This window comes from Homo sapiens, chromosome 6 (genome assembly GCF_000001405.40).
Source record: "Homo sapiens chromosome 6, GRCh38.p14 Primary Assembly".
In the NCBI taxonomy this organism is placed as follows: Eukaryota; Metazoa; Chordata; class Mammalia; order Primates; family Hominidae; genus Homo; species Homo sapiens.
The window spans coordinates 47241966-47261331 of record NC_000006.12 but is presented as its reverse complement, the minus strand read 5'-3'; the positions used below and the strand labels follow the sequence as shown (position 1 = coordinate 47261331).

The window sequence follows — 19366 nt, the reverse complement described above, 5'->3', positions numbered from 1 at the left end:
GTGTGGTCTTGGGCTTGGCCTCAAAGGCATCTTGGAGGACAAGACCATTGTATGTGGAACATCAATTCCAGTAATGCTAAAGCCAGGCTTTTATTCCAATTTCTGACTTTGACATATGTTGCTTTGTATAGTTGCTGTATGTGCTGTGGCCATCTCTGTCCCTGTATCTGCAGCTTGTAAGGTTATGGACACAGTGCGTGCCTGTTAGGAGCATGTCTTTTAGGGAGGTTTGGGGGGGTGTTAGAAGGGAGGCTGTCTTGAGTTCATGTCTCCCGTCTTCCATGTGTACATCTCAGGAGACTGCTGTGTGTTGAGAAACTGGCACAGGGATAACTGTGGAGTTGTCTGTCCTGGGAGGAGGTTGTGTATTAATTGCCTCCCTGGGAATTTTCTCATTATTTGTCCCTTTACACTCTCTTTCTAGAAGAATAATGAGAACTGACATTACATGTAACAAGATGTGTTGGGGGTGATTGAATCTTTTTATATGATGAGTTTGATACCATCAAAAAGTTTATAAACCTGTCTCTTAGATGCACCCATTCTGCACGAAGCCTGATTGTGCAGCATGAAACTGAGTGCTATGTTGTATAGTTCCAGGCAGCCTTTGCTTCCTCCAGCTTTGTCTTCACTGTCCTTTATACCTCATCCAAGGAGGGCTTTGATATGGGTTCTCATTGATGACATTCATTCCAGATATTTATCTCCAAAAGGAAAACAGCCTTCACATTTTCTCTAATTATAAAGGTCAATTTGGGTTTTTATTAAAAGAGAAGGAACCCATTTTTGCATCCTGAAGCTGATATTCAGCTTTTAAAAAATGAGCTTCAAATTAGGATTGTCCCCCAGATAATATGTAATTCAAGGTTTTATGATGCACTGGAAATTGCCATTTCTTCCATAATAACCCAGTTTATCAGCTCATACCTCAGTTCTTGAGCTCTCCTGCTGGGGATCAAGTCAGTACCAGCTCACTTGGAAGAACCCATTGAGTACTGCTGTGATGCCCTGCATGTGGCAGAGGCGGTAGCAGCAGCATTTTTCCTTCCACATAAACCCTCCTGTGGATGACTTCAGCCATCTCCTAACATGTACGTGTGAGGTTCCAAGAAACACAGGAAGCCGGGAGTCTGGTGCTTGGCTTCATTGTTCAGCACCAATAATCCCAGTGCTAAAACCTGTGTTTGTACAGAACTCTTCCCATCTTTTAGGTTCATTGGCCCAATGACACTTGTCCAAGCAGAAATGGAGGGGCAGGGGAAGCAGAGCCGAATTGTACTGATATGCCACCCTAGGAGTCTTTAATACTTGATCGCATAAATCTCCTTAACCACTCTACCAGATAAGAGGGGGTGTTTCTATTTTACTTAAGTGAAAAGTGAAATCTGAGAGGTTGCCACTTGCTCAGGGTCATGCAACTAACAAGTCACAAATCTGGAGTTTGAAACCATATCTTGTGACTACTACCAATGATCTTCCCACTACCTGATCCTTCCCATCCTCATGCTTTTCTCCAGGGGCCAGGGCCACCTTCTCAGATAGTTCCTAACTAGTACAGCCTCGGATGTATAGGGCTTGACTCCTTTGATGACCTCCTCAGAAACTTCATCCATTCTCCAGAGCTCCAGGATCTGGCACCACGGGAAAAGGCAATGTTGGCAGGGCACAGTGGCTCACACCCGTAATCCCAGCATTTTGGGAAGCCTAGGAAGGTGGATCACTTGAGGCCAGGAGTTCAAGACCAGTCTGGCCAACATGATGAAACCCCTTCTCTACTAAAAATACAAAAATTAGCTGGGCCTGGTGGTGCACACATGTAGTTCTAGCTACTCGGGAGCCTGAGGCCGGAGAATCTCTTGAACCCAGGAGGTGGAGGTTGCAGTGAGCCAAGATTGCACCACTGCACTCCAGTCCAGCCTGGGTGACTGAGTGAGACTCCGTCTCAAAAAAAAAAAAAGGCAATGTGATGTTCTGTGCCCCTGTCTATCAGCCCTTCAGTGGGTTGAGGGTTGTGTTACTTTTCAATGTAAGGAAAAAGACACTTGGCATCACATCCAGTTAAACAATTTAGATCAATTCAACACATAGCTACTGTCACCAATCTTGACAAAAACCCTGGGAACTCCGATGGGGCAGATGACTGGGCATCCTGCCAAGCAGAGAGGTGGTCTCCATGTCACTTACTGTCATTTCACATTGAGGTTAATAATTGGGGTGGGAACTTTCATTGTCTTCTGAGTGTGGTTTCTTTTCTTTTAATGAAATGCTTTTCTAAATCTTTATGCTATTTGACAGTCCTACCCAAGGTCTCTTTAAATTGCTGTAATTGCAGGGGCTGGTGAACTACAGCCCGTGGGCCATATCCAGCCTACTTTTTTTGTAAGTCGAGTTTTATTAGAACACAGCCACATTCATTTGTGGTGTTGGTGGCTGCTTTCATGCTCCAACAGAGCTGAGGAGTCATGACAGAGACTGTATGGTTTTCAAAGCCTCAAATATTTACTGCTGTCCTTACAGGAAAAGTTTGCTGACTTCTTTCATTCTCTCTCTTTTTCTCTTTCTTTTAGGGTATCATAGATTTAAAGAAAGGAAATAAAGGATGCAGTGGCTCACTCCTATAGTCCCAGCACTTTGGGAAGCTGAGGTGGGCAGATCACTTGAGGTCAGGAGTTTGAGATCAGCCTGGCCAACATGGCAAAACCCCGTCTCTACTAAAAATACAAAAATTAGCCGGGCATGGTGAACACCTGTAGTCCCAGGTACTAGGGAGGCTGAGTTGGGAGAATCTCTTGAACCTAGGAGGCAGAGGCTGCAGTGAGCTGAGATCACAAGAAAAGAAATAAAGTCCCTGGGGAAACTGTTCCAGTGTCTATTAGGTGGTGCAAAAGTTACTGTGGTCTTTGCCATTTTGGTGACCAAAAAAAAAAAAAAAACCACAATTACTTTTATTTTTTTCTTTTTTTTGAGACAGTTTTACTCTGTTGCTTAGGCTGGGGTGCGGTGGTACAATCCTGGCTCACTGCAACCTCTGTCTCTCAGGTTCAAGTGATTCTCCTGCCTCAGCCTCCTGAGTAGCTGGGATTACAGGTGTGCACCACCACGCCTCGCTAATTTTTTGTATTTTTAGTAGAGACAGGGTTTCGCTATGTTGGCCAGGCTGGTTATGAACTCCTGGGTCAAGGGATCCACTCACCTCAGCCTCCCAAAGAATTACAGGCATAAGCCACCCGTCCAGCCCATGATTACTTTTGCACCAACATATGCTTGGTCAGTAATAACAGACCAGGAGGCAGCACACACACTGTGGCCAGCCTTGAGTGCGTTCATCCTAGGCTGGATGGCCATGCCTGAGGAGAATAATTCCAGCAAATAATAATGTTCCTCCACTGCATCACATTCCCTATTAACCACAATTGAGGCATCACTAACTGGGTGGGTGACCTTGCACTAGTCACCAACCCCAACATGCGATTTCCTTGCCAACAAAATTGAACACTTAACCATGTGTATTTATGAAGTATTTATAAACACATCTTATATATGTGTATGTTATATAGATAGTTTAAAAAGGAATAGTAAAATAAATCTCAAATAAAAGTAATAACATGAAAAGAAAACCCATTTCTCCACTGTCCAGCCTAGGAAACAGAACTTTATGAATACCTTTGAAATCCCTTCTGTGCTCCTTCCCCCTCCCCAAAGAGGTAACTATCTCAATTTGGCAAATCGTCCTCCTGCTTTTCTCTGTAGTTGATTGTTTTCTTTTGACTAACACTTTTTCCTACACAAGGAAGGCATTCAAAGCCCCAGTCTGGTCTCCTCACTGGGGTTTTGTGATAATGTGCTAGACTAAAAGGTTGGTATCCCCTGAGGGAGTCATTGATTTATCTTTGATTTATCAACTCCACGGTGGGAGAGGACAGCAGTGAAGAACATTGGCGACCCCAGCCAGTTCATGGAGTTGACTCCATGTTTTCATAGTAGAGAATCTAGCTGAGAGAGAGAACAAGATGAAACCTGATTTGTAGGCCTTAAATTTAGCTTCCAGTCCATTTTAGTTTAGGGAAATTTCATTGTATCTATTCTTTGTGGGTTTTTTTTTCTTTTTTTCTTTATTTTGTGGCTTAAAAAAAGGATAAATACAGTACTGGGTTTTGGAAGGAGGGGTTGTTAAACTTAAACCTTTTAAACTCTGTAATTACTTCGTAAAGGCCGTGTATTTGCATCTGAAATGCATTGAGCCTTAAGTTTAGTCCTCTGTGTATGGAGCTTTCATAATGATGGGAACACTTCCAAAAATAAAGTAACTCTATAGAAAATGTTAATCAGCTTATCCGCAGTGACCCTAGTGAGTTTCTCCATTGTACACATGAGGAAATGGACATGACAGTTAGAGGTTTGCCCAAAGCCACTGTCATCGGCATTATGAAGATTTAAGCAATGGTCCTACTTACCAGAAAACATGGTCATGTTTTCATGTAAGACACTGTGGACCTTAGTCAAATTGATCTAAATTAAGATTCAGGGACTAACAAGACTTTTGGTGTTTGGAAGAGTCTACCACATCAATCACAAAGAGCTGGCTTATTCCTTAAAGTTACCTGCAGGGTTTAAAATCAGTTATGGGTTTTCTGAGGAGTCTATTTGCTTGAAATCAAAAGCTCTGTATCTGACTAAACATTGCTCGGAAAACTGAAAAGGACTTGGTTCAAGTAACTTCACACTGCCAGGGAAAACTGTGTGAGAAGTACAGTAATGACTCAATTTGTGGCATCCTTTTTAAATTTTTTGTGGCATTCTACTTTTTTTGAGATAGAGTCTCCCTCTCTCACCCAGGCTGGAGTGCAGTTGTGTAATCTTGGCTCACTGCAACCTCCCCTCTGGGGCTCAAGCAATCCTCCCACCTCAGTCTCCCAAGTAGCTGGGAATATAGGCCTATGCCACCACACCCAGCTAATTTTTGTATTTTTTGTAGAAATGGGTTTTCACCATGTTGCCCAGGCTGGTCTCAAACTCCTGGACTCAAGCGATCCACCTGCCTCAACCTCCCAAAGTGCTGCATTACAGGTGTGAGCCACCCTGCCCATCCATTCTACTTTTATAGTTGACAGGAAAACAGCCTTCTACTAGGAACTGATTTTTGAAAACCATTTTCAGTGGATTGGTGCAGAATGTGTATACAGTCTTCCACATCATCTGCCTCAATAGGATTGCCTGGCAAAGTAAGAATGCGTGTTGAGGAGCCACAGCGTCCTTCGTTTTTACAGAAACTTTTATAATTATTATTGTTTTTATTAGCAATAATTGATAGCTCATTTTATAAATATTTTCCTGAACAACTGATGGGTGCAAAAAATATTTTTATTTTTTTTCTAGGAAACCTTTGATTGAGAAATCAGAACAGTAAACCCCTCTTTATTCTTCTCTTTTCCTTTCTCTCCTAAGCCTCACTTGGGAATGTGACCCTATTTTTTTTTATTGAGTAGTAAATATTTTTTAAGATATTGTTAACTATAACAGCTATGTTATCAGGGCAGGTGAGCGTGACCTCATTCAAAGACATGATATTGGCCAGGCATGGTGGCTCACGCCTGTAATCCCAGCACTTTGGGAGGCCAAGGCAGGCAGATCACCTGAGGTCAGGAGTTTGAGACCAGCCTGGCCAACACTGATGAAACCTCATCTCTACTAAAAATACAAAAATTAGCTGGGTGTGGTGGTGGGTGTCTGTAATCCCAGCTACTTGGGAGGGTGAGGCAGGAGAATCCCTTGAACTCGAGAGGTTAAGGTTGCAGTGAGCCGAGATGGCACCATTGCACTCCAGCCTAGCTGACAAGAGCAAAACTTCATCTCAAAAAAACAAAAAAAAAAACCAAAGACATGACATTGATTCAGAGGACTCACTCACCCGTTGTAGTAAAATACCAGGGCCCTTACTATAAGGGTGATATATGCATCCCACATGTAAATCCTGGCAAAGCCAATGTGTAATTGCAGAGAGAAGACGCCATAAACAGAGAGACACCAAAGTGAGCTACTCAGGGAGAGCCTCCCCTCACGAACGGTTGGTGCCAGGTGCTTATCCTGAGTTTTTGGATCTTGAGATTTGATTTTTGCATTTCACCAATTTCATCATCACCATTTCATCTGTTCATCAGATCTGGGGACCACAGATGCACACTCACTGGGTTTTCAAGTGACTGCTGAGCCAGGATGATAATATATTGAATCATTGGGGACAGCTGTCTGTCAGACTAACCAGCCATAGTCATTATAAGCCAAGGCATTTCCTTCATCTTGGAAGGTACCATCGATACTGTCACATTTCATAGTGGTTACACATACAGGATTTGAATTACAAAACTGGTGAGTTGGGTTCAATAACCAACTCACCTACCTTTGTGATACTGGGCCAGTAGCCTAACTTTTCTAAGTGTATTTTTTTTCTTACCTGTGTAATTGGAATATTAATGCCTTATAAAGATGTTCAGTGAGCTAATGCCTTAACATAATACCTGGAAGATAATAGCTATTGTTATTATACAGTCATTTTGGCTGCTGTCTTCATTATAACTATGCAAGCCAAGTTGGAAGACTGAATAATGAATTAGAAAATTGCTTGTTGAACATGAATTTGAGCACAACTTAGGTGTTCTTCAGGAATGCTTCTATTGGCCTGGAACAGCTGGGCACACTGTTAGTTGATATAAAGGACACCATTCCCAGAATTTGAAAACCTTTTACCTAGACAGTTCTGGGTAAAGTCCATTACAGTTTTAATTTGCAGCTTCCCTTTTTCTAAATGTCATGAAGTCACCATGTTTTTAGATGGGAGCCTCTAACTTACTTGGTTACTATTGTATTTAGTACAGTAGTCCTCCCTTATCCACAGTTTAGCTTTCCAAGGTTTCAGTTGCCTGTGGTCCACTGTGGTCCGAAAATACTAAATGGGAAATTCCAGAAATAAACAATTCATAAGTTTTAGATTATGCACTATTCTGAGTAATGCGATCAAATCTCACATTCCCGTACCATCCTGCTCTGTCCTGCTGGGGAAGGGAATCATCCCTTTGTCCACCATATCCATGCTGGAGACCTCACCTGCCTGTGAGTCACTTAGTAGCCGTCTAGGTTATCAGATTGACTGTCTCAGTACTGGTACCACAGTGCCTGTGTTCAAGTCACCCTTATTTTACTTAATATTGGCCCAAAGCTCGAGAGGAGTGATGCTGATAATTTGGATATGCCAGCGGCCATAAAGTGCTTCCTTTAAGTGAAAACATGAAAGTTCCCCACTTAATAAGAAAAGTCAATTGTATGCTGAGGTTGCTAAGATCTACAAGAAGAAGGAATCTTCTATCCATACATTGTGAAGAAGGAAAAAGAAATTCATGCGTAGTATGTATAGGGCTCTGTACCATCCATGGCTTCAAGGCATCCACTGGGGATCTTGGAACTTATCCACCCCTCTCCTTCAACAAGGGTGTATTACTATAGTAACAGAGGAATCACCGTGAATACCTTATTTGGGTTTGGCTTTCGAAACATCTTTTTGGGTCTGATTTATTATAATTCCATGATCATTCCTTCTTCTGGTTCCACACTCAGGAAGTGAAATTTGTATGAGGGTACCAGCTAGTCCACAAGATGAGCTGCTTGTGCCAAGTGCTTAAGGGAGGCAATGCATTCCTTTGACATACAGCGATAGGAAAGCGTGCCTCTTCTAGTTCATTCATTAAAGCAGAGCTGCCTTATGTAAGAAGCTTCCCTTACAAGCCCTCATTTGTTTTTTATTTTTTCTCTGGTGTAGGTATCGATATCCTGAAGCTTGTAGCAGCCCAAGTGGGAAGCCAGTGGAAAGATATCTATCAGTTTCTTTGCAATGCCAGTGAGAGGGAGGTTGCTGCTTTCTCCAATGGGTACACAGCCGACCACGAGCGGGCCTACGCAGCTCTGCAGCACTGGACCATCCGGGGCCCCGAGGCCAGCCTCGCCCAGCTAATTAGCGCCCTGCGCCAGCACCGGAGAAACGATGTTGTGGAGAAGATTCGTGGGCTGATGGAAGACACCACCCAGGTAATGGAGCCCTTGTTGTGTGTCATTACCACCGACCTATTGCCCCTATGCTTCAAATTTTATCAGTTGTATGGGAACAAAGAAAAATAACATATTCGGTGGATAGGCACACACACACACACACGCATACGCCTGCACACACACACACACACCCTACCTTCTAGGACGGGGGTTCTCAGTGGCCGTCTATTAGAATCATCTAGAAAACTTTAAAAAAAAATACTGATGCTCAGACCCTACCTGCAGACCAGTCACATCAGAATCTCCAGGGGGCAGAGCGTGAATCGGTATTTGTAAAAGCTCTCTTTGTTACTCCATTTACAATCCATTTTGCATGACACACTTTGAACAAAACCAAGAAAAAATACTTTTTACTACACCGCCTCTCCTCCAGAGGGTGTTTTTGTGATGTGGCTTATGAAGGCAGCATTCTTGCCTCCTGAGGATGCAGGTGGTGCTAGCGGCAGTTGATGACAGAACTGATTCTCCTCCTTGGGTTGTTCCGTGGAGCACATCAGATGGGAACTGAGGGGACCCAGGAGTGTGATTTCTTTATAGCTAATAAGCCCTGGCTTTGGAGCCAGACAGCGCTGGATTTGAATCCTGGCTCTGGTACATATTAGCTTAGGTGATGAAGGGTAAGTTACTTCAACTTTCCTTGCCTCTGTTATTCACATTTTCAAGTCTGCTATATAAGATTAAGATGAGAAATAAAGCATATAAAATGCCTGACTCATTGAAAGTGTTCTACAAGTGGTAGTTACGACCATGATGTAACTCATTTTACTTAGCCTTTCTTTAATTGTATGTACTTCCCTGAAAGGCCATGAATAAAGTTCAGATTTGGATATTGAATCATATTTTCCACAGACTTCAATTCAGGTTTCAGAACATATTCCCAAAGTAAAGAAAATGCTGCCACTAAGACTAGATAAAACCCACTTAAGATTTAAAGGGCCGGTCTGTGTTATTATTCCAGTGGTCCAAATTTGTTACCTAAAAGAGCTAGGTAGAGATTTTTTATGACATCAATTCAGTTTACTATCATTCTATATCACATTTTGTGTATCAAAGTATTTCATTTTGCATACTTTATACTTACGTTTAAGTATACTTTATGTACTTAAGAAGTCCAAATGCTTTTATCTTTTTATACTGATAGCGCAGTAATTCTTGACAATTGATGTAATCATTTATCAGGTGAATCTTTTATCCAAGTAACTGGATAATAACAATTTATAGGTGCTAATTGACTTTGAAGGTGGTCTTTTAAAGCTCTGGCATATTTTTAACTTCTTTGAAGTGTGGAATTTCAGAAAAAAATACTTATTAATAGACCCAAGTGATAAACATTCAGAGGCATACACCAGTGTCTTATGACTTTCTAAGAAATAATTTAGGTGTGAAATATTATTCACAAGTAAAACTAGGCTTTAAGTAGCTGGATTTGGGGGAAAGTGAGGGAGATGTTAACCCTCCAATTAAGTAAAATGGCGGCAGTTTGAATACAGGGAGTTTAGAGGCAAAGCATTGCCACGCATTCTTAGAGACTGGCTTTAAGGAGAGAGCTGGAAGACAAGCCTAAGGCTCAAAGAAGGATTTAGATACGTGAGAATAAGTCGCCTAATGTCCTTGATGATGCCTAAAAGAAAGATAACATATGACTGATGCAAGGTTAGGATTTGGTTAACCCAAACCTGTGGTGGGCCCATGGAAAAATAAGAAGGTGAGAGTGCATGTCAAAAAGAGTGATTCATAATAAAATCATTAGGTCAACGAATGAGAGAACAAAGCAGCTTCTTCCTAAGTGCCAAACTCTTGTACACCTTAATTATTTCCTTCCCCTTATCTCTTCTATAATACCAAAAGATTCTAATAGTAGCTATTTTTTGTTGTTTATTTTTTGAGAACAGTAATGTCAAAGCACTCTACAACTTTCTCGTTGGTTCTGCTATAGCCTTTGAGTTATGATGGAGGCTGAGAAGGCAATATTAAATTTTTGATTTCACATTTCAACAATATACATCAATGTCTAGCAGCGTTTTGGATCCAGCTCTAACTCTAATTTTAATAGCCAATGAACATGGATTTTTGGCTGCCAGTTCTTATTACAGGTTGAGTATCCTTTATCTGATATGCTTGGGACTGGAAGTGTTTTAGATTTTGGATTTTTTCAGACTTTGGAATATTTGCATATACATAATAAGATAGTTTGGGGATAGGTCCCAAATCTAAACATGAAATTCATTTATGTTTCACATATACCTTACATACATAGCCTGAAGGTAATTTTATACAAAATTAGAAAAAGTGTATGCATGAAGCAAAGTTTGTGTTAAGTACTCATGTGTGGAATTTTCCACTTGTGGCATTATGTTGGTGCTCAAAAAGTTTTGGATTTTGAATTTTTGGATTAGGGATGCTCAAGTGGTAATTGCACAGTATGTTACTCTCTGTCCATTGTTTATTTCTGAAATTTGTCCCATCTAACAAGTGAATCAGAAGGCAGGGGGCTTAATTGAGACTCCTTATTCTCATCCTGTGATGGGCTTGTACTCCCTGTGTATGGTGGTACTGCTGGGGATTTGGGGCTTTGCCCCAGGAGTTATTGGACTCTTAATGGGTAAAAATGACTATTTTTTTTCAATGGTCAATGTTTTTTCTCTTCATAAGCCTGAAAGTGCCTATGTTATGTTCCACTAAAAGGATTAGCCCTGGTGTGGCTTTTTGTTGCCTCTGTCAAGAACAGCCGGTTCATTATTAACCATGGTGGCCTATTAGCCATTTTTAAATTAAACCCATTCAGAGTCTGACTCTTTCTTTATCTGAGGTATGAGCTGTATTTTTCAGCACTCTCTTCTTTCAAGTTCAATATCTAAACTGAACCCAGCCTTCCAGAATCATAGCTATTCTTCCCTTCTGGGACATGAGCATTTGGAATAAGCAGCAAAACAGTGGGATAATAGTTGTAAGTTATTGCAATTTTACCAAAGCTATTAAAAAACAAAACACTGCCCTAATACAGCATTCCAGTTTGTATGTTATCTCTTTTCCCATCCTTTTACTTTGATTTTTTTCTCTGTCTTTATTTAAAAAATGTCTCTTATAAGAAGCATATATTTCAGATTTTTTTCTTAAATCTAGTCTGATAGCTTTTGATAATTAGAGAATTTCAGTGTGTTTACATTTTTATGTAATTATATAATTGCTTTTTAAATGTAATTTTTAAAATGTAATTACTCAAATATTTGGGTTTAAATCTACCACATCTTTGTTTTCAATTTGTCCTCTCGTCTTTTTTTATTTTTTTCTCTCTCCATCTTTTCTTGCTTTCTCTTGGAATAATCAAGTATTTTTTTCTTATTCCATTTTTCCTCATCTGTTAGCTTGTTAATTTCACATTTTTTACTTCACTTTTAAGGGATACCCAAGGGATTACAACACACATGCTTAATTATGAGATATAGGCAATAAATGTGTACTTTTTACCATTTTACAGATACTACAACCTTAGAAGACTTTAATCCTATTTATCCTCCTCTTATACTTCGCTTTTGTTTTCATGAATTTTAATGTTACACTTTTAATACTGCTAAAAGGCAGAGTTATTACAGTTTTACACAGTCAGGAGTCACACAGATTTATCTGCATATTGATCTTTTCCATTCTTAACATTCTTAATACCTTCCTCCTGGAGCTTCAACTTCTACCTGAGAAAATTTTTCTTTTGCCTAAAGAATACTTCTATGTGTAGGTTTCCAGCAGTAAACTCTGTTTTTCTTGGTCTGAAAAGTGCCTATTTATAAATAAATAAATTGCATTATTTCACCTTAGTTTTTGAAGGATAGCTGGAAATAAAATTCTAGCTTGCCAGTTATTTTCCTTTAGTCCTTTAATGCCTGGATTTAAGTTTCCCCTGCTAACCAGCAAACGAGAGGATGTGATTTTATTTTTAAATCTATATGACATAACACATTTTGTGCACAGTATTATAACAGGCACTTTGGGCAATGCAAAGATGAGTAAGACAAAGTCAATGCCATCAAGGAAGCTTACAGTTGGATGGAAGGAAGAAGTTTACACATACTTATATAATCTGAAGGAGTAAATCCAAGAGGTTGGGAGGAGGAATGTGCTGGATCGCCATCTAACCAGCCAGTAAGGCTCCGATTAGAACATCAGTATGGAGACGTGTGCCGGGTTAAATCCCTGTCCTGGCAACATAGTCATTTTAGGGACCCTGAGTAAATTACTTGGCCTCTCTGCCTCAGTTTCTTCATGAGACAATAGGAACAACATGCGTGCCTGTCCTATGGGTTACTCTGAGAATGAGGTGAGTGTGACCCACTGTAAGCATTTGTCAGATGTTGACTATTAATAGTTGCAATTATTTCCAGGCTCTGGAGGCAAGAGAGATGGAAGAATGTTCCTAACTAGCTAAAACTCATACACATAATGGGTCTTTTAGATGCTGAATACTGAGGGTCACTTAGTGTTGGGTGGGGATGTTCACCCAATTCCAGGACTGCTGAAAGCAGGTGGCCGAGCAGGAAGTGCTATCTGGGTTCAGTGCCCCAGAGCTGGAAATCCCAGCTAACTGTAGCTATGTGTTGCTTACTGCCTGAGCACATGTTCCTAGGCTGGCTGGAATGTTTTCTCTAGCAAGGGAGATAATGGTCTGCTTCCTCAATAGCTGTCAGAGAAACAAAATTGAGCAAGTGAATTTCTGGTTTTCCTTATGATTTGGTTTTCTATGTTTTTTTTTCACTCCCCCCTTTTATTTTAGAGCCTTTGTATGTGCAGAGAGACTTAACCAGTGCACTCTTTCCCTGCGCCTTGGCTAGGGTGGGAGGAAAGGAGTCTGTTTCTTCTCCTTAGGAAACCCTGGGCAAACAATTTCTCTAACTCTGAGATTTTTCCATTTAAAATGGGAATTACAGAACCTGCCCTTCACACTCTGAGTGGTTATCAAAATTAATTTTGATAATCAAATTACTGGGGGCCATACTAGAGTGAGATATTAAAGTGATGCTTTGCAGCTAGGTTCAGAAGTATTATATCTGTGGTTAGAGTTTCAGCATCCCTTCATTGCTTCATGAGAGAAAGGGGTGGAAAAAGAAATTTTATAGATACTTAAAAAATGATGGTATTAAAAACAACCACAACAATTTAAAATAATATAAATTGTTACTTTAGCTGTCTGCTTTGATCAGAGATTCACAAATGTAAAGGACTGATGTTAACCAGGAAGCGGAGTGGAGAATCAATGCTCTACTTCTTATCTCTCCTTCCATAAGATTAAGCAGATTAAAACTACACTATAATTTCACAACCAGTGGACCCACCGCCAATGTTTTGTGGTGGTTGTTGTTGATTTCTATATAATAGAATTAATTATTCTTTGTTAGGATATTTTAGTCCTTTCCAGAACCACATAGGGGACCTATGTCTCAGGAACAGAGCATTTGTGCACTTAGGCACTCTCTCTCTCTCTACTATAGTAGACTCTGTGTTGGATCCTGGATGGCTTTGCTCTGTGTAATCAACTCAGAGAATCCCAACAGCTAGAGAAGTACTGGGCCTTCTATTTTGGTGAGAGCAGCACTCCTGCCTCTGCTGCAGAGGGAACTACAGTTACTGATTTTTTGCTTACCAGCTGCAGGATGCAGCTGTCCTTATCTACGGGTCTGACTGAGACCAGCTATTTTCAGAAATTTAATACAGTGAGGACGAGTTGAAGCAAATACCAGCTGTACATTAACTGTTGACTTTTTGGCTATTCAAATTAGTCTTTGTCATTAATTTTCCAATTTGTCATCTCTTAGAAATTAGGGATCTTGTCCTAAGACCTGAGGACCTAAGGTAACAGCTAAACTTGCATGTATCTAGCAGCTGCCCTCTGCTGTGTTACTGCAGCATGGAGGGTTATTTAAGGTCAAGTTACTTAATTCATGGGGTGTGACTGCAGGCTCTGGGGAACTTCTGGGGTGGTGAGGAGAAGAGGACATTATAAAGGGATTGCTGACACACATAGAACCAGGAACATTTAGTGATGCTTGTGTTTAAAGTTGTCATTGCGCACAAAGGAGCAATGTTTATAAATAGGCTTTAGATTTTTAATGACATTTCAGGCTGTTCTATTTATTATCATAGTCCAAAGTTTCATTCAGTTAGTTGACAACCTTTTGTCAAACACCAGCTGTGAGCCTGGTACTGGATAAAGAAGAAAAGTGGTCAATGCCTTTCAATAACTCACTTGTGGTGATGGAGACACGTGTGCAAATAATTATAATTCAGTGGGATAAGCAAATGTTATAATAGAAGTGTGCATGAGGAATTATAAGCATCAGGGTGAAGAAGTACTCAACCTGCCAAAAAAATACATAGAAAGCTAGAGCAGATATATATTTGTCCATTTGAAAGTCACTTAAAAAAATCAGACTAGTTTTTTTTCAAGACTATATTTTGGTCTTCTTTCCTGAAACTTTCACATTTGGTTTCTGCCTAGGAAGCCCCACCTGCTTTTTCATATTAAGGGCTTCTCAAATCTTTGACTCTGCAAAGAACGTCTGTTTTACTTACATCCTTGTTTTGCTCAGTAGCAAGCTTTTTAGAAACCCTTAACTGTTCTGTAATATTTAAGGTATAGAAATAAGGTTTTAATATCCCAGTTCATGTCACGTGCTAGATATTGAACTTTGAATCTCCAGGAACTACTAGAAGGAACTGACAAATTCAAGAATTTGACTTTGTCTCTCTGAATTGGGTTTGAATTTTGCTTTTGCCACTCACTATGTGACCTTGGGCAAGTCCTATACAGTCTCCAAGCTTTGTAAGTGCTTTGTAAAGATCTTGCTGAGAAATAGAGGTGAGTGTAAATGCCCAGTCCTGCACTTGACATAGAGCAGGGGGCTCAGTAAATCTTAGCAACTATTTTCTGTGTTGGAATTTGAATTCTACATTGTCCTTTTTTTGACTTGACAGCAAATGCATTATGTTTTCAGTAAATGCACATTAAGTTGAAATCAGCATTTGCTAAATATCTGTTGTGTCCCAAACACTGTCTGGGTGCTCTATAGCTGGTTTATTTAGCAAGCTTCATGGTCCTGAGAAGTATAGGTGGGTATATTCTCATTAAGATAGTGATATGGTTTGGGTCTGTGTCCCTGCCCAAACCTCATGTTGAATTGTAATTCCCAATGTTGGAGGTGGGGCCTGGTGGGAGGTGACTGGATCATGTGGGCAGATTTCCTGCTTTGGCACTGTTCTTGCAATAGAGTTCTCACGAGATCTGATTGTGTGAAAGCATGTGGCACCTCCCCCTATCACCACTGCTCTGACCATGTAAGACATGCCTGCTTCCCCTTTGCCTTCTGCCATGATTATAAGTTTCCTGAAGCCTCCCCAGTCATGCTTCCTATACAGCTTGCAGAACCGTGAGCATATGAAACCTCATTTCTTTATAAATTATCCAACTTCAGGTATTTCTTTATAGCAGTATGAAAACTGACTAATACAGATATATTACTATATTTCATTGAATCCCATGTCAATTGTAAGATATACCATTGTCATTATGTATTACTGAGAAAGAAAATACTGTTAATTATAATTGTAAGAGACACCTCTATTTCAGAGATGTTAAAATGTGAAAAAAATATGCATCATAGAATTTTAATAAATATAGTAGTTGAGCTTGCTGTATGCAGATCGTAAGGAGAAAAGTCTAGGAAACAGATTCTTGGGGTCTTTATATTAATATACACTCCCTGCCCAACACACACACACACACACACAAACACACACACACACACACACACACACACACTTCTTCTTAGTATTGCCTTTAAGGTTGAGATAATTCAACACAGACAATTTATTTAATAGATTATCAGAGCACCCATTATGTATTGAGCCCTGTACCAGGCACTGAGATACTAAATGAAACAAAACAAAACACAAAGCAGAATCATCCCTTAGGATGCTGACAGTTTTATAGGAGGGATAGATATGTGAGCCAGACTTGAGAATATATTCTGTGAAGCTGCTATACAGAGGGATGGAAGTGGGCTTTAATTTTTTTCTGAGACAGAGTGTCTCACCATTCAGAAAAGGCTGGGTCTGTTAGTGGATGACATTTCCCACCCCTTTAATCTACACCCTTCCTGGCTTTCTCAAAAAGTGCATTGGGAGGAAATCAGAATCAATACTGTGAAAAGAAGCTTATTTTCTCCATCAATTACCAGTGCAGGAGAGCACATTTTCACTTTTTCTTTTTAAAGGCAAAACACCGATTTGGATAAAGTTGAATAGCTTCCAGCTTTGGCCTAGCTTCTCCACTCTGTGTTTGTGAAAGTGTCCCTTATTCTGTTATAACCCAAGTGTCAATAACAGGTACACTTGCTGATGAGGAATTGCATCATGGTCAGCAGTAGGTTTTATTTTATATCAGTTAATTTCGAGGTTTTCATCACTTATTTTTCACCATTTCCTTGGGAGAGACTAATGTCATTCCTGGTTTTTTAATAAACAATTGCCACAGAGGAAACTTTGATCGATCTACAGTTGGACTTTCACAGGACAGGCTGAAATTAAATGCCCAACAACTAAAATGACTTATCACCAAAAAAGTACTAGAAAAAAAACTTGGGGGAAATGTTTTGTTTTTATAATCACAACAGTAGAGAATAACATAAAGCACAGAAGCCGTACAAGAACAATGCAACTACTTAACAATAAATACACAAGCCAGAAAACACCGTATACAAATCAAAAGACAAAATAATCACAGGTTGAAATTGTTTGAAACATAGGGTTCAGTTTCTTGAAAAATAAGGAGTTTTTACAAATTAAGAAAAAAAATGTGCAGTCTTGTGAACAAGACAGTTCACAGAGAAGGAAATACTGAAGCCTTTTTTTTTTTTTTTTTTTTGAGACGGAGTCTTGCTGTGTCGCCCAGGCTGGCGTGCAGTGGCGCCATCTCGGGTCACTGCAAGCTCCCCCTCCCGGGTTCACGCCATTCTCCTGCCTCTGCCTCCCGAGTAGCTGGGAATACAGGTCCCCGCCACCACGCCTGGCTAATTTTTTTTGTATTTTTTAGTAGAGATGGGGTTTCACCGTGTTAGCCAGGATGGTCTCTATCTCCTGACCTTGTGATCCGCCCGCCTCGGCCTCCCGAAGTGCTGGGATTACAGGTGTGAGCCACCGCGCCCAGCCTGAAGACTTTTTAAACATGCAGATTTTTAACCTCTCAGGCTGGCATGGAGACCTATAATTCCACATCTAGGAAGATATCTTACACATGTTCACATGCATTCAGAATGATGCAAGTACACATATATTCATTGTAGTGTCATGTGTAATAGCAAAAGAGTGAGGAGATCTACAAATGCCCTTCACTAGAGGACTGGTTATCTAAGTTATTGAACATCTGTACAATGGAACAGCATGCACTTGTCAGAAGAAGTGAGTCAGCTCTTCATGTGCTAACCTCAAGAAGGGTTAAACGAAAAAAGGCCAGGTGAAGAATAGTATGTAGGATGGGGCACAGTGGCTCACACCTATAATCTCAGCACTTTGGGAGGCCAAGGTGGGCAGATCACTTGAAGTTAGGAGTTTGAGAACAGCCTGGCCAACATGGTGAAACCCCATCTCTACTAAAACTACAAAAATCATCTGGGCCTGGTGGTGCATGCCTGTAATCCCAGCTAGTCAGGAGGCTAAGGCACGAAAATCAATTGAATACAGGATATGGAGGCTGCAGTGAGCCGAGATTGCACCACTGCACTCCAGCCTGGGAGACACGAAAAAAACAAAACCAAAAAAACAACAGTATGTACATTGTGCCACCATATTGCAAAAATATATACATATATATACACACACACACAGTATATACATAGATGTTAAAAATTGTTTTAAAAAATAAGGGGGGTGGAGAACATATATACTTATTTATTGGTATAAGTATAGACTGTCTCTATCTCTGGAAGAGTATATTGTGACTTGGTAACAGTAGTTACCACCACGGAGGGAAACTGAGTTGCCGAGACTTGGAAGTCAGAGGTTAAGGTCAAAGGTTAACTTAGACTTGTAGACCATATGCATTGTAATTCTAATGGCATGAATCTAATTAATGGACTTATTATGCAATGCTAATTTAATCAGATTTGATGAGTTCAAAAAGCCCGAGTCATAAAGATGAACTTAAGCCTTCTTACTTCAAGGTCTTGAGTTTCCTACGAAATTACTTTCCATCCTCCACAGTGTCTTATGGCAAGCTTTAAAAAGGTTTGCGAAACTTTTTCTCATGGATAGAATTATCGAAAGGCTTTTTTGTGGGAAAGATTTTCCAATAGAAGTTTAGGGAAACCTAAGGAATTTCCAATGGAGCATGATCTCCTCATGTTCCGATGGTGCTGAGCTCTTAAAAGTCTTGGCAATATTTTCAAACGTGAGTGGGCTCCAGCTCTGAACCAAGAGAACCCACTTATTCACTGTCCTCACTTCCTCTTTTTGAGAAAGCTAATCAGTGAGTCAGCTCAGGGCTGCAACACCACTACCGTTGATGTCAGCAGCCTGGACAGCCTGCAGACACCCGTGCCGGTAGCGGGGCGGGGCTGCCCCCCCTTTTCCCTCCCTCCGGAGCCAGCTGGTTCTTACCAGCTTTGGCAGCTTTGTGCAGCACTATTTGTTGTGGCTTTTCTCCTGTACATACAGGAAAGGCACAGCTCTCTTGCTTAGGGCAAGGATTGGCTATTGACACTTTGACTTAAATGGGGGTGGATTTATAGACTTTGGGGCTCAATTTTGAAATTAACTCTTAGAAATGATGAGAATTCTAAGACGAGGTATATACAGAAAATTATAGCCAACTACCTTGATTTGAGTTTGGGGTATTTAAGCGAGAAACCCACCGTGACCAGCTAACCTAGTCTAACTTCATAGGCCTTAAGTAAGGTTGCAGTTGAAACAAAACCTTTTCATTATTCTGTGCTTGAACAGATCTGGGGTGAGTGGGAGTGTTTTTTAAAATAATTCCCCAGTGGTTTTGGCATTTTTTTGGCCAGGTTAATCCTGAGATTCCCCTGATGGTGGGTGAGTTTGTTCTGCAGGCTCTGCATTGGCTCCCAGCTTAAGGTTCACTCACCTATGCCATCTCTGTGGTCTGGCTTGGGGGTTCCCAAGGAAGCTGAGCAGAACATCTTGGTGTTGTGCTCCTGTTCTTTCTTCCATCCCATGACATCCAGTGATCCCAGGGAGCTCTAGACAGCAGATGGCCCTCGCTGTC

General features: G+C 40.6%; 1 protein-coding gene across 1 annotated transcript in view, besides 2 other annotated features; it reads left to right on the top strand.

The window, feature by feature from the left end:
* The window catches only part of TNFRSF21 (TNF receptor superfamily member 21), a 78374-nt gene that overhangs the window by 48574 nt on the left and 10434 nt on the right, over window positions 1–19366 (top strand). The window contains exon 4 of the mRNA NM_014452.5: window positions 7811–8076. Coding sequence (NP_055267.1) covers window positions 7811–8076 — 266 coding nt within the window. The remainder of the gene's footprint in view (window positions 1–7810; window positions 8077–19366) is intronic.
* Window positions 18292–18521: an enhancer, noted in NCBI's record as "active region_24657". NCBI's record gives its function as "activates an Ori minimal core promoter by ATAC-STARR-seq in GM12878 lymphoblastoid cells {active_cell/tissue: GM12878}" and the evidence as "EXISTENCE:reporter gene assay evidence [ECO:0000049][PMID:35858748]".
* Window positions 18742–18871: an enhancer, noted in NCBI's record as "active region_24656". NCBI's record gives its function as "activates an Ori minimal core promoter by ATAC-STARR-seq in GM12878 lymphoblastoid cells {active_cell/tissue: GM12878}" and the evidence as "EXISTENCE:reporter gene assay evidence [ECO:0000049][PMID:35858748]".